The 14,860-nt window shown below is 40.6% G+C and overlaps 1 protein-coding gene across 12 annotated transcripts in view, besides 1 other annotated feature; it reads left to right on the top strand.

Annotated features, from left to right (window-relative positions):
- Positions 1-14,860, top strand: part of NCALD (neurocalcin delta) — a 438,366-nt gene that overhangs the window by 31,664 nt on the left and 391,842 nt on the right. The gene's annotated exons all lie outside the window — the stretch shown is intronic.
- Positions 12,051-12,220: an enhancer, noted in NCBI's record as "experimental_100837 CRE fragment used in MPRA reporter constructs". NCBI's record gives its function as "activates a minimal promoter by MPRAs in K562 erythroleukemia cells, with activity observed for the non-introgressed 8:103093337 variant allele {active_cell/tissue: K562}" and the evidence as "EXISTENCE:reporter gene assay evidence [ECO:0000049][PMID:34662402]".

Genomic DNA, 14,860 nt, shown 5'->3' with positions numbered 1-14,860 from the left:
GCACCTAGGATAGTTCTTTAATTCCTCAGCGTTTAGTGAAGTCATTCAGTTATACAACAAATGGTGACTTTTTTTTTTTTGTTTGGAGACAGGGTCTCACTCTGTTGCTCTGGCTGGAGTGCAGTGGTGTGATCATGGCTCATTGCAGCCTCAACCTCACTGGGCTCAGGTGATACTCCCTCCTCAGCCTCCTGAGAAGCTGGATCTACAGGTGTAAATAGTGACTTTTGTGTGCCTACTAAATATCTGGCAATGTGCAAAGCTCTACGGTTAGAGCAATGAGGGAGACAGACATAGTCCCTGCTCTCATATAGTTATAGTCCAATGGAGGCGTAGAGGTGCATAAGTCAAAGAAGTGCTTGAAGACATAAAGAATTCCTATTGTGATAACAAGGAATGATGTGAGAGGTGCGAAAAATGGAACTGTCTTAATTGTAGAGCTAAGGAAGGCTGTTGACTCCATGGATGAGTTGGGATTTGATGGATAGGTAGGAAATAAGTAGTTGAAGGGGATGTGTGGGTAAATAGCATTCTAGTAATTCCAGGCATTCCAGGAAGAAGGAATAGTACAAAGGGAAGGTCAATGTGGGAGGAGCATGAAAAAAGGCTTGTTGCTGTGACAGGATCACAGGGAGCAAGAGGAAGCATATTATGAAATGAGGCAGGGACCAGACATGTGGGGATATGTTAGGCATATTAAGGACTTCAGTCTTCTTTCCAATAGCAGTGGGAAGCCACTGAGTTTTAAGGTGGGGGTGTTACCAGAAAGGGGTCCTGATCCAGACCCCAAGAGAGGGTTCTTAGATCTCACACAAGAAAGAGTTCAGGGCTAATCCACGGAGTAAAGTGAAAACAAGTTTATTAGGAAAGTAAAGGAATAAAGAATGGCTACTCCATAGGCAGAGCAGCCTCGAGGGCTGCTGGCTGCCCACTTTTTATGGTTATTTCTTGATTATATGCTAAATAAGGGGTGGATCATTCATGCCTCCCTTTGTAGACCATACAGAGTAAGTTCCTGATGTTGCCATGGCATTTGCAAACTGTCATGGCCCTGGTCGGAATGTAGCAGTGAGGACGACCAGGTCACTGTCATCACCATCTTGGTTTTGGCCGGCTTTTTTACTGCAATCCATTTTATCAGCAATGTCTTTATGACCTATATCTTGTGTTGACCTCCTATCTCATCCTGTGACTTAAAATGCTTTAACAGTCTGGGATTGCAGCCCAGTACGTCTCAGCCTCATTTTACCCAGACCCTATTCAAGATGAATTTGCTCTGGTACCAACACCTCTGACATTTTCCCCCTCCCTTTTATAAAAGAACCCTTAATCCTAAGAGTTGTAAATGGACAAAGAGTCATCTTCTGTAACTTCTTCAGGCTAAATAGGGGCAATGATATTCCTGCCTAACTATTAGGGTCTCTTGTGTTTGGGGTAGAGAGAAGCTCAGTCAGAAAGCATTAGTATGGTGAGGGCCATTCATAACTCCAAGTTTCAACAAAAGGTGATATCTGGAAGATTAATAATTGTTCGATTTAAGAAAACATTCAGTAAGCTTATCCTGCATTCCTACACAGAGTACAACAGCACTATATTGTACAACAGCACTATATTCTACAACAGTAAGGCAAAATAAGTAAAATTATCCCAAGTAAATTAAATAAGAAGGCTTTCCATGAACTGGCCAACTGTTGAAACCATGCTGATATGGGGTTGCTAGATGATTACAATGTGCCTAGAATTAGAATATTGATTCAGATTTTTACATTACCCATCCCTCTTGTTTATTCTGAGCAGCAGTCAGAGATCATTGGTTGGTTCACAGCAATAAGCAAGGTTAGCCTAAGTTGCAGAAACAAACTCAAAAACAACTAAGACTAAAATCTAGTAACAGGTGTACCATAGTTCTTGAAACATAATTTTTCTTTTTTTCTCTCTCCAGTTTCCCATTTTTACTAGCAACAAATCCTGGTAAGACTGATTTGCTTTATTATACTTGGCATGATTACTTGTATAAAGTGCAGCAAGAATAATTATTTTTCACATAAGCTCTTTAAATTGGCTTCAGTGGAACTCTGTTCCATAGACAGAATCTCAGATAAGACTTTTTTTATTTTAAAGCCAAGCCCAGCTGTGGGTTTGTACCTTCAAATACCTATGAGTTGGGTAAACTCCTCTTCTCTTGAGGTACCAAGATAAATTGGGGCTCCTGGGCCTGTTAGAAAGTGACATTCTTTACTTACCACAGGTCAGGAACCCTGTACACGGTTTGTAGACAAGGAATGAGACCAGTTTTCCCAAGGGGCTTCTAATGGCTCTATGTTGGCTCAAGTCAAGTTTGATTCCTTAAAGGAAAGCACGCCATTCCAGACAACGCCTTGGTAAAATAACCAGTTTCTCCAATTGTGTCCTCTTACAAAAGAAAAAAGATTCTTATTGTACTTATGCAAATAACTGTATTGCCATAATTAAGAATACTCACAACTAGTTTCCAAATTCTGGAGAAATTGGGTAGAGAGAAACAAATATGATCCAAATTTTGTTCACAGAAGTATACTTTACTCAGTTGTTAAAAGCTATAAATAGCTCAAAAGAAAAGTTTTCTTGGCTCTGGAAAACAAAAAGATTCAGCAACGTTTTAAGCAAAAAAGTAAAAAAAAGATTACTTCAGTTTTTTATTAGTTCAGTCCCTGCCGTTAACTCCTGTTCTGCTTGAACAGAACTCCTGTTCTATCATGAACGTTTGAGCTCTCCATGAGAGTCTTGAAAGTTTTTCCTCTATTCTAATCTCACAGTCTCCGAAGTTATCAGAAACTTGCATTTAAGAATGTCTGTCAAAGTCCTGTAGCTGATTATAAACCACCTTTTGAAGAGGATCAACACAAGACAATAATCATCTGTGGATGGCAAAAAGTTTTAGGACAGCCACTATTAAAGCCACAATTAATAAGGAAATTTGGTTACTTCTGTGGTATATAACAATTTCACATAACAATTATAACTTTGATAACATACACTAAGTCATATCAGAATTATAGGAGTTTCTCATAATTTTGGAACACATACCAATAACACATTTATGCAAATACAACCCAAAGAAAGCCAAACACTATTTCATATTTCACAATGCTTTCCATATGCTTTTTGTACCAAATAAGCCAATTTTCACCTTTATATTAGTGTACTGTTAATGTCAACCCCAATTTTTAATAAAACCTTATAGACAAATCTATCCAATTTTAATCAGTTTGACCATAAGATAAGATTCTTATAAACCTTTTATAACCCTTTACAAGTTTTTGTTAAAGAGCAGATTAGATTAGTGCTTCAAGGAAAACCTGTTGTGCTTTTAGTCCAATGTTTAATTTACAGAAAAACTGAATACCCTTTTAACTGTAGCTACACACAGAATTTAGTTCACACACAGAATTTCCTTTATGAGATAAATTTTTCACAAACCTTCTACAACTTGTTTAAACCTTCAGCTTTATCCTATCTAACTTAAAACAACCCTTTAATCCTTTAGTTTAGGCCAAAAATCCACATTCCCATTACTTTTTATAATTTTTTTTTTTACCAAAAACACCTTTCACTTTCTTTACACACCTTCCATGTAAAACTGTTTTTATTTTCCAAAGATTACTAAAGTCATGTGAACTAAAAGGCATTACGCTTTTTACTTTTAAAATATTTAAGCTCTTATTATTCTTAAGCCAATTAAAGCTCTTTCATATGTAAACACCACACACACAACATATAGAAATATACAGACAGAAGAAGATCTAGTAGTTGTAATATTTTTCATTTGCCAGTTTCTTTTCTTTTTTTCTTTCTTTTTTTTTTTTCCTTTGAGACTAAGTCTTGCTCTGTTGCCCAGGCTGGAGTGCAGTGGCGTGATCTCAGCTCACTGCAAGCTCCGCCTCCCGGGTTCATGCCATTCTTCTGCCTCAGACTCCCAAGTAGCTAGGATTACAGGTGCCTGCCGCCATGCCTGGCTAATTTTTTGTGTTTTTAGTAGAGATGGGGTTTCACCATGTTAACCAGGATGGTCTCCATCTCCTGACCTTGTGATCCACCCACCTTGGCCTCCCAAAGTGCTGGGATTACAAGCGTGAGCCACTGCACCCGGCCTATTTGCCTGTTTCTTAATTGAATTACTGGCTTCAGGGTGGACCCCAGGGCCAGGAAAGCATGTAGTTTTTATGGCCTAATAAGCAAACACAGTTGGAAGGCAAAATAGCTCCCCCAAAATTAAGGGTCCCAGTTTTATATCAGATTCTGGATCCTAAAAAGAGGGAATCAGCCCATCCCCAAAAGGACATTTCCTACCTAGTTATTACACACCAGAACTGTCTCATAATTTGAAGTAATTTCTGATGCTCCCCAAAGTCAAAAATGTCAGATAATGCAATGCAAAACAGAACAAAGCCTTAGATTTTGAGAGAGATCTATCTATTTTTAATTCCTGGAGATCTATCTACTTTTAATTCCTGGGGTTCCATGAGGAAAACAGAGGTTTTTTGTTTTTGTTTTTGTTTTAGTCAAAAACATCAGATAATGCAATGGAAAACAGAACAAAGCCTTAGATTTTGAAAGAGATCTATCTACTTTTAATTCCTGGAGATCTATCTACTTTTAATTTCTAGGGTTCCATGAGGAAAACAGAGGTTGTTCTTTTTTTTTTTTTTCCCCGAAAACAGGATCTATGGCACCTCCTGTGTTTTTCCCAAGGAACTCCAGGCTGTTAGAACTTGAATACCCACTTTTAATTAAGCTGACTTTTAACCATAGCAGTCTTTAAAAACGTCCTTTTGAATTTTTTATTATTCATCTTTAGCCTGGCCAAATGGCAAATATTTCTGGCTTTTAAACTTTACTAAAAGTAACCTCACAGGTACTCTAAGAAAGGAAATTCAAGACAGTTTGTGGAGGGGAAGAGAATAAAAAATGGTAAAGGTCATGCAGATATTAAATCAGGAATAACTCACTCCCTAAGCCAGGAATTGAACCCTGAAACTGGGCCACCATTGTGAAAAGAGAAAGCATGGCCACATGGTTACAAGGTCAAGCTCCCAAGGACATGACTGACCAGTTTCCTGGGCCATCTTGAAAGCAGGGCTTATGGGGTTCTAAGCCCATGTTCTATCCTAAGGTAACCCTCTCTATGACAGAAAGATACAGAAAGACAAATTCATATCACAAAGCGCAAAAGATTTGCTGCAGCTTAAGATTAGCCTCACAAATCCTTTTTTTTCCCATTAATCAAAACTTTACAGAGGAGATAAACAGTATTTTTTACCATTCATTTAACCAGTTTGCAGAGAGAGAGAGAGAGAGAGAGGAAAGCATTGCTTAAGGCAGGGTGGGGAAGGTGAAGAGCTCAGGGAGGCCAGAGAAAGACCCAGCCATTTCTCAAAAGTTCAGGCAGCTGCTTGTCAGTTGTGAAGGGATCTTTTCCAGCAGTCTCATCAGCTCTCAAGTTTCCTCTTTTGGGAAGGAAAAAACTCATGTCCCATGGTCTTGTACATCCCTAATTTTGTCACCCATAGCCGTCAGCAAAGACTGCAAGGCAGATTAATCCAAAGAGAATAGCAGTTAACATCCCATAGTGCCAAACCCGGTCTTGGTCGAAAGCAACTTTACTGACCCTCTAAATCTTAAGAAGGATTCTAACCTTCTTAAGTTGGGCCTCAAACCCAAGTTTGGTCAAGCGTCCTTGCCTTTTATTAAGAGGGGCCTTTAACCCATTCTGTCTTAGGAGAGACTCTAACTCCCCTAAGTTGGGTCTCTAACCCAATCCCATCCTTTACCTGGGTGCCCTACCACTTACCCAAAGCCGGCCAATCAGTGCTGCAGTCTATTTCCTTTGGGTTGGGGGGTGTGGGGTTCTTCAGTATCATCTCTTTCATGGTTTGCCAGAAAGATGTTACCAGACCCCACCACTTACCCAAAATTAGCCTTTGGGTTGGGGGGTTTCTTCACTACAGTCCCTTCCATGGTTTGCCAGAAGGATGTTACTGGAAAGGGTCCCAATCCAGATCCTGAGAGAGGGTTCTTGGATCTCACACAAGAAAGAATTCAGGGTGAGTTCATAGAGTAAAATGAAAGCAAGTTTATTAGGAAAGTAAAGAAATGAAGAATGGCTACTCCATAGGCAGAGCAGCGCTGAGGGCTGCTGGTTGCCCATTTTTATGGTTATTTCTTGATTATATGCTAAGGAAGGGGTGGGTTATTCATATCTCCCCCTTTGTAGACCATATAGGGTAAGTTCCTGATGTTGCCATGGCATCTGTAAACTGTCATGGCACTGGTTGGAATGTAGCAGTGAGGACGACCAAGTCACTCTCATTGCCATCTTGGTTTGGTGGGTTTTGGCTGGCTTTTCTTTACTGCAACCTGTTTTATCAGCAATATATTTATGACCTGTATCTTGTGCTGATCTCCTATCTCATCCTGTGACTTTGAATGCTTTAACAGTCTGGGAATGCAGCCTAGTAGGTCTCAGCCTCCTTTTACCAAGCCCCTATTCAAGAAGGATTTGCTCTGGTTCAAACACCTCTGACAGGGTTGAGGTGTGGGAGCATGAGAAATGATTGTATTTGCTCTTTGAAAAAATTACACTTATAGAGGATGGATTGGACTGGACTGAATAGTGGCAGACTAGACAGGAGTCCAGGCAAGAGATGATAGTGACTTGATTCAAGAGGAGGGTAATTATGGGTATGGAGAGAAGTGGCTGGATTTAGGTGGACAGATTCTTGGAGCCACTTGACTTTGGGAGATAATGATGGTATAGATGTGTCTTTCTGAGATATAAAACTTCATCTTTAATATGGAAAAAGAGTGGTTACATTAGATTCATTGGGAATAAGAGGCCTCTGTTCTACAGGTTTGTTTAATCTCAAAATAACCCCAACATCACCAGACCTGGATTGTGATATTTTTGTCCTGGTTTAGTCTTAGTGCAATATTTGTAATTCCATATATTTTTCCAATCATACACTGTGGTATTTTGATAAAATGTGCACAAAAGAGCTGTACAGTCTTGTGCACTCAGATGAGCAATGCTCAAGTGATGTTTTCCTTGACTGTATGAGAATTGTTAGCTTTTTTAATTTCTCAAATTTAGAATTTGAGAAATAATTGAGAAATTTTAGGTGCCCAAATTTAAACATGTTTTAAACATGGTACCCAAATGCAATGTTTACTGCTGACTCTTTCCCATCCTTAACACTGCAAAAATGTCAGGAAAAAAGATTAAGCAGCATAAATTCATAAGGACAAAGAAAATAGGAAATCAGATGACCATATATGAGAGTCAACAAAATTTTGAAATATGGAAGGCAGTTGGATGAATGGTAATTGACTTGAGTTTTAGCTTTTTCTGCTTGGTTAAAAGCCTAAAGCCAATTATAAGCAAGCTAATTTTTGCCACAAAATTCCAGACAGGCTCAAATATTGGTGCCACTAGATACTTTTTTTTTTTTTTTTAAAGACAGAGTCTTGCTGTCACCCAGGCTGGAGTGCACAGTGGCGCAATCTCAGCTCATTGCAACCTCCTGGGTTCAAGCAATTCTCCCTGCCTCAGCCTCCTGAATAGCTGGGATTACAGGCACCTGCCACCATGCCCAGCTAATTTTTTTTTATTTTTAGTAGAGACTGGGTTTCACCATGGTGGCCAGGCTGGTCTTGAACTCCTGACCTCAGGTGATCTGCCTGCCTCGGCCTCCCAAATTGCTGGGATTACAGGCATGAGCCACCATGCCTAGCCAGCACTAGATACTTCTAAAGGTAGGGTTGATAGGAAGATTTGTTTAAAAAAGATCCCCTCTCTTCCATCATCATGCTAGGGAAGTACTGTTTATGCTGCATAGATAGGAGTTTACTGTCTAGAGAGGGTGACTGGGAACTCCCAGATGTGGGACAAATAAGACGTTTGGCAATGTTTGGGGACATTTTTTGTTGTTTCACAATTGGGTGGCAGTTTCCTAGTGGCATCTAGTGGGTAGATGGCAGAGTTCTGCTAAATATTTTACAATGCACAGGACATCCCCACAACAAACAATTACCTGGCCCCAAATATTAATAGTGTTGAGGTTGAGACACCCCAAGTTAAGTGAAGATCTAGGGTGAGACTTTCTGCCTTCCATCCAACCAGGCGTGTGCATGTACAGACCCTGCAGGAATGGGGGAATAGCTCTGTGGGGAAATTGACTAGCAAATCAAAAGATACGGACACCTGCAGATTTCTTAACAAGACAAGTTCCTGCCAATCACCCATTGTGAATTTTACTCATTTTCCCAGAACTTCTATTCTTCCCACCCCACCAACCCAACCGGGAAAGTCAGGAGACCATCAGGTGATGGTCAGGGAGTTGTTAAACTGTCTCACTAAAATAGTAATTGGTTGCAGGCAGCACCAGGGAAAGGCAGTCTTCCAATAGATAGAAAACACCTGAAAGTGGTGATCAGCTGCTTCCTGATAAGATCTCCGGAGTTGGGCGGGTTCAAGCTTGTGGACTAAGAGGCCAAATGGTGGAGTTTATCTGGTATATGACCTTCTTCTGGGAACACTCTGCTGGTAAGGGAAAAACGCCTCAAGTGAGCTTGTGTATAATTTCACATTGCGTGTGGCGCCCCTCCCAAGTGCTGGCAGGCCACTGAGCAGGCAGACAACACCCCATCAAGGGAAGAATCAGGGGAGAAGGGGCATAAACCCTGGAAGCATGCCAGCATATAAAACTCCAGGTCAAAGTTCAAGCCATGCATTTGACTCTCTCAAGTCGCCCCCTTGGTCCTCTTCCAAGTGTACTTGACTTCCTTTCGTTTCTGCTCTAAACTTCTTAATAAGCTTTCATTCCTGCTCTAAAACTTGCCCCAGTCTCTCACTTTGCCTTATGCCCCTCAGTCAAATTACTTCTTCTGAAGAGGCAAGAAGTGAAGTTGCTGCAGACTCATACAGATTCGCGGCCATTAACCTACTTTGGTGCTGTGTGATTCGAATACATTCCCTAGTGGTAACAACATCTGTAATAAAAGAAATTTTAGGGTTTTGTTTTCAGGATACATAAGTGAAAGTAATGTAGAAAATTAAGCAAATGAAAAATGAGGCCAGGGCAAAAGAAAAGGCATGAACAAGAAAGGAAATCTATTCTGACTGTGCATTTAGAGAGTGTTCAGTCTGCACCTGCACTGTGTAAATGTTGGCACATAATTATTCATTTAATCCTCACAGCAGGCCCATGAGGTAGGTGTGGATACTTTTGTCATTTTACATTTGTTGAAAATGATGCACAAGGTTACATACCCAGTGCCTGGTGGAGGCAGAATTTGGTCAAAGCTGTCTGGAATCATAGTCGTAACAATGTAAATACTGTATTGCTTTAATCAAAATAGCGATGTGACTATATAGAGGTGATGATGGGATCAGAAAATGGGAGAAAGTTATGCAACAGCTAGGTGATAACTCTTTGACAGCAGGAAGTAGATATTGTCTAAATGGAAAAAGGAAACAAACAATAGCAATGAAAGAGTTAATGTAAAAATGTGGGGATTATGATCATAGAGAATAGCTAAAAAGAGTTGAGAGTGCCTACTTGGAGGGAATGAGACTGGGAGGGGATAGGGATGGAGCAAAATTGGCTGCTCTTTTTGTTTCCAGGCTGAGTGCTTTTTGACTTTGATAATACATACATGTTAGTCTAATTTTTTAAAAAGTTAAAGATAAAAAGAATAAAGGAACCCTTTAGCCTTGTGTTGGATCACCCAGTTGTAATCTAAGCTTCTACACAGGAAAGATTCATTATCCCCATTCACAGAGGCATTTCACCTTTCTTTTATATTTATAATTGCAGCCATCAAGCTTTAATTGGTTATGGGAAGGCTTATAGGGTGTTCTAGAATGGTCTGCTTATTGCCAAAGATAAGCCAAAATCATGCCGAGCTGGTTTGAAATACTGGTCTGCTATTTATAAATTATTTCAATTCAAGAAAAAGGTCTTCTTGGCTTGAGTTTGTAGATTTAATTAGACAATTTCAGAGTCAAAGTTATGGAGCCAGTTACCATTTTAGGGTTGAGTCAGGTTTTATGAACTCATCCATGGGGAAGACACTGAGGTTATATTTTGCTTTTATGAGTGTTGCCTCCTGTAGTTATTTTCTCATTCCTTATCTACTGAAGGAAAAATCACTGTTAATAAATACAAGGAGTGAAACAAATTGACTTTTCTTTTGCCCTTTTGGAACTAGGTAGAGGAGACGTTTGCATCTCAGTAGTAATTCTTCTTTTTGTTCTGAGCTCTCTGTTGCATTATTCACCCGTGGACTGGCAAATTATTTGAGTCAGAACCCTGGTAGGAATGGCCTTAGCCAGGGACTGAGAGGCAGACCTAATGCTAACCTGAATTTGCAGCCCCATTACAGTTGCGCCCTGCGGTGGGGGAGAGCTCAGCCTCTTACGGCCAGGAAATCTTCTGAAGTGAATAGGCTTCTATTTAACCACCATGTGGTCTTGAAAATTCGCTCCTGTTTCTTTTTTTCAATTTTAAAAATCTGGTGATTTCTTTCCTGATGCTCTAACATAAAGAAAAATAATGATTCTAGCCATGACTGAGGAAATAGTAATTGCAAATGTTAAACAATGCCTAGGGGTAAGTTTTCTATGTGGGGCATTTGTGGATGCTGCATATTTGACCATCTGGAATGGGAGTTGGAGGTGGCCGGTTGTGGATGCTCCACATGTATTTTAGTTAGAGAAGGATCCTGGGAAATTTTGCAATAAGAAGCTCCTTTCATTTGTATCAATTTCTGGCAGGGACAGAGAGCTCAGGTGTCAATCATACCTTTAAAGAGAGCTTTTGGCTGGCACCTGTAGTCCCAGCTACTCAGGAGGCTGAGGCAGGAGAATGGCGTGAATCCGGGAGGTGGAGCTTTGCAGTGAGCCCAGACTGCGCCACTGCACTCCAGCCTGGGCGACAGAGCGAGACTCCCTCTCAAAAAAAAAAAAAAAAAAAAAAAAGAGAGAGCTTCTCAAATAACTGCCCATTGAAAGGGCTATTATTTGAGAATAATAAGCACCAAAAGAAAGTCTCTCAGGACAAATACTGACACCTTTTTATTGCTTTTTGCACTCTTAGAGGTAGAAAACAAGCCACTAACTTGGTTGTGGCAGCATTAATGAGTATCCTTGTGGAAGGGGCGAGGGGGATGTTGGGCTATGAAACCAAATTTAGTCAGGCAGTGTAAATACAACACTCAACTCTGCTCTTTTCATTGTGAGTTTGTTACGAGGCAAAGCAGTAGGTTGGGGCCACTCTAATGCACCACCAGACACTAATAGCTCATATTTACACCGGTAAACCAAATGGTTGCCTTTAGGGCTAATCCAGCAGCCAGAGGGGTCCCTTAGGCTTGTGTTGGTAAAAGCACCAGTCGTGCCCAACCCAGGGTTTCTCCAGTGCCTTGTAAAGGGACTGCCAGCAGAGCTCTTTAATTTTTATGTTTATCAAACGATGTTCTGTGTTTCTTTTTATGACGAAAGAGGAATCATCTTTAAATGTCAGCACGATGTCTGGCTTAAGTCCGCAGGCTGATGGACTGAACTAATGGGAGAATTGCAGAGTTCGGAAGAGGTAAAGTGCGCATGCGCAAAGCCAGTTTTTTTTGGGGTTTTTTTTTTTTTTTTTTTTTTTTTTTTTTTACCATTATTTGAATTCTCCTTGACTTAAATCAGAAATAGGCGTAAATGAGCTAAACTGTTTTGAAGCCCAGGGCCCGTTTGTGCCACAGCATACTTTTATTTCCATCAGTGTGTTACCAACGACATTAAGGATCAATTTTCTATATGAAAAGGGCTTTGTTGAGACAGTGAAAACAAAATGACTCATTAAAGAGGTTTAACCTCAAAAATAATGTGTAAATATATTTGAATTCTAAGCAGACCCAGTTGTAGGCTGGTTATATTGTGGTCATGTGATTTTTTGACATTATGATAAACAGTACGTTTTCTAACATTATTAAAAGCTTGAATATTTTGTTCTTTTCGTTTTTGTTTTTCACAATAAGAGAAGAGCCACCAACAGAAAGGGTCATAAAAGAACCCTTTTATTGCTTCTGTTCTTAAGGGAGTAGTTCTCGAACTTGGGGAACTTATACAAAGCCACCTCCCAGAGATTTAGATTCAGAAGGTAAAAAGAGGGGTCCATGAATCGGAACATTTACAAAGTGCTGCAGGTGATTATGATGCAGATGGGCTGGACACCACACTTTGGGGGAAAAAACCCCAACCAACCAAACAAAAAGTTTCCTTCAAACCTTATTTGGCATCAAAACTTCTCCCATGTCTCAAACCCTCAGGCCTTTGCACACTCTAAGAGGCTTTGCCTCACTATTAAATGAGTGGGCTGGAGACCCAGACCAGCTGGAGCCTCAGAGCCCACTGGTCTTGTATAATTCAAGAACCATTGATTAGGTATGACACACGCCAGCCCTTCTGTCTCCTTGCAATCACAGTTTTTATGGGAGCCCCAAGCCCTCATGCCCACCATGCAGAGTTTTCATAGAACATTTAGCGTTCCCAGAGGTTCCCCAGAGCCCACACTTTTGTTTGAGAGCCTTCCTTCTGAGTAAAATGAATCTCCTAAGGCTTTCTCTTTGATGAGTGGGAACACCTGTTAAATTCCTTCTCCCTAACCAGCTCCTGACAAGAATATGTTAATCCCATAGGGTTGAGGTCCCCTGAAGTTCTATGACCAGCTCTGACAGGAACAGAACAATAGTTTGCCCAGGAGCCAGCACTTAAAATCTGCAGTAAAATACTTGGCCTGCCTCCCGCTCCCTTTGTGCTATCTGAAAAAATGTGGTGTGCCGTGGTATATTGTTTTTGGGTAATTCTGCAGGCCAGTCTTGAAATGAATGCTTGTAGGAAGCTGTCAAGATGAACCTAGCATTAAGCTATAAAGGTTGGTTGGAGGTGGTTTAAATAAAGGCATTTGCTTGGGGTTGTACGGAATAATGGAACTCTTAAGTGAGAAGTCGAAATAGCAAACACCGCTGGCTGCCAACAGCACACTGTGCCATTAACCTTTCATATGAAGTCATTGGAAGATAACTGAATTATATTTCCTTGGGCGGATTTTTTTTTAAGAAGGTAAGTGGCAGCAGGGATCTATTTTTATTAAAAAGGCTTGAGAAGTGCAGTGAAATGGCTGTGTGTTTGCAATCACGTCTTCCCTGTTATTTGACAAGGCCTGAATAATTGGAGGCAGAAGAATCAGTAGTTCTGCCTCGTTGCTGTGGCACTTTGCTGGATGTGCTTTATAATATTTGGGCAAATTTGCCATTATCCTTGTGTCTTAATTTCTCACTTCCTGAAATATGACTTTACGCTTTGTAGCATGATGGGACTTCCTTAAATGTTGGCAGATTGCTTTATGTGTTCAGATGTGCAAAGAGAAAATAATTGAATTTATTAATTATGCATTGCAGTTCATATTCATTTAAAGCTGTCAAGTGATTAGCTGTGGGAGGTGCGTGAGAAAAGGACTGTTAAAATGACAGCAGTTGTTGCTATACATAGGGCTCCTTGTTGCTATGCCCATAACCTCTTAAAGAAATGCACATTGACACTTTAAAGCCGTAGTTAATAAAAACTGGGTTATGGGCAACAGAGTCGTTTATATTTCCTCCTTTATAGACAGCAAAGGCTGCCATGTGCCTTCCAAAAGAGTGGATTCCATGTATAGAGATCATGTTCCATGACAGGAGGTGCTCATCCTTCCTATTTGCAAATTCTGACTTTGCCAGGTGCTAGCAGATGTCATGAGAAAGACACACACAACTGTGGGTCTCAGTTTCTCTCCCTAGAAAACGGGGAAAATACGGTGGTTGTGCAGAGTGTCCTTTTTGGTCCAGCTCACATAGCCAGGATGCGTTTGCTAGTTTGGGGTTAGAAAAGAAACAAATAACAAGGCCGGCTGGTAGCTCTGCAGTGTCTGGTCTAAGTTGGTACTCAGTGCTGTTTGTGTGCACAAAGCTAAAGCTCACTGAAGCTAGCTGAGATAAAGGGGGTTTCATGGAAAGGACACAGCGAACTCCCAAACACAGATATTGCAATGCAGCCAGCCTTCATGGGTACTGCAGCAGGAAATGACTAGAAATGAAGCGGTGGTCTCCAGTGGCAGGAGTTTTCTGGCTTCTCTGTATCTTCTCAGCCAGCTTCTTCCACTAGGTTCAAGCATGTTTCTGATCTCTGCAGTCTACAACTCACCACTGACTGCCTGTAGATGCTAAGACTCATATTCCTTCATTTACCAAGTATTAATAAGCGCCTACAGTGCTCCAGGCACTGTTTTAAGCCCTGGTCTCCTGTGGAAGATTCAGGCAATAATCAGATAAAAAGCAAACCAATCAATAAACAGTGCACTTTCAGATACTGATGAGTGAATGCAAAATAAAATAAGGTAATAAGGTAATTGGATGGGGGAATGTCATGCTGCTTTAAAGAAAGTGGTCGAAGGAGCATTTGAATAGACTTGAATCATGGGCAGAGCCTGCAATGCGAAGATCTGGGGAAGACAATTCCAGGCAAAGAGGCCAGCATGAGTCAAGGTTGTGTGTGAGGAGTGAAGGTGGTGCTTTGAAAGATTAGCAAGAAGTCACAGTGGCTGGAGCATAATGAATTAGGGGTGAGTAGTGGGATTTGAGGTCTGAGAGGCAAGAGGTAGGGACATCTCACAAAGGGACTTGTAATATGGTTAGACATTTGGACTTTTTTTCTAAGCGAAATAAAAAGCCATTGATTGGAAGGGTCTTAAGTTGAGGAGTTACATTTGATCATGATTCACATTTTTAAAAGATCACT

This window comes from Homo sapiens, chromosome 8 (assembly GCF_000001405.40).
Source record: "Homo sapiens chromosome 8, GRCh38.p14 Primary Assembly".
Taxonomy (NCBI): Eukaryota; Metazoa; Chordata; class Mammalia; order Primates; family Hominidae; genus Homo; species Homo sapiens.
Note: the sequence above shows the minus strand (reverse complement) of the source record. Positions and strands in the feature narration are given on the sequence as shown.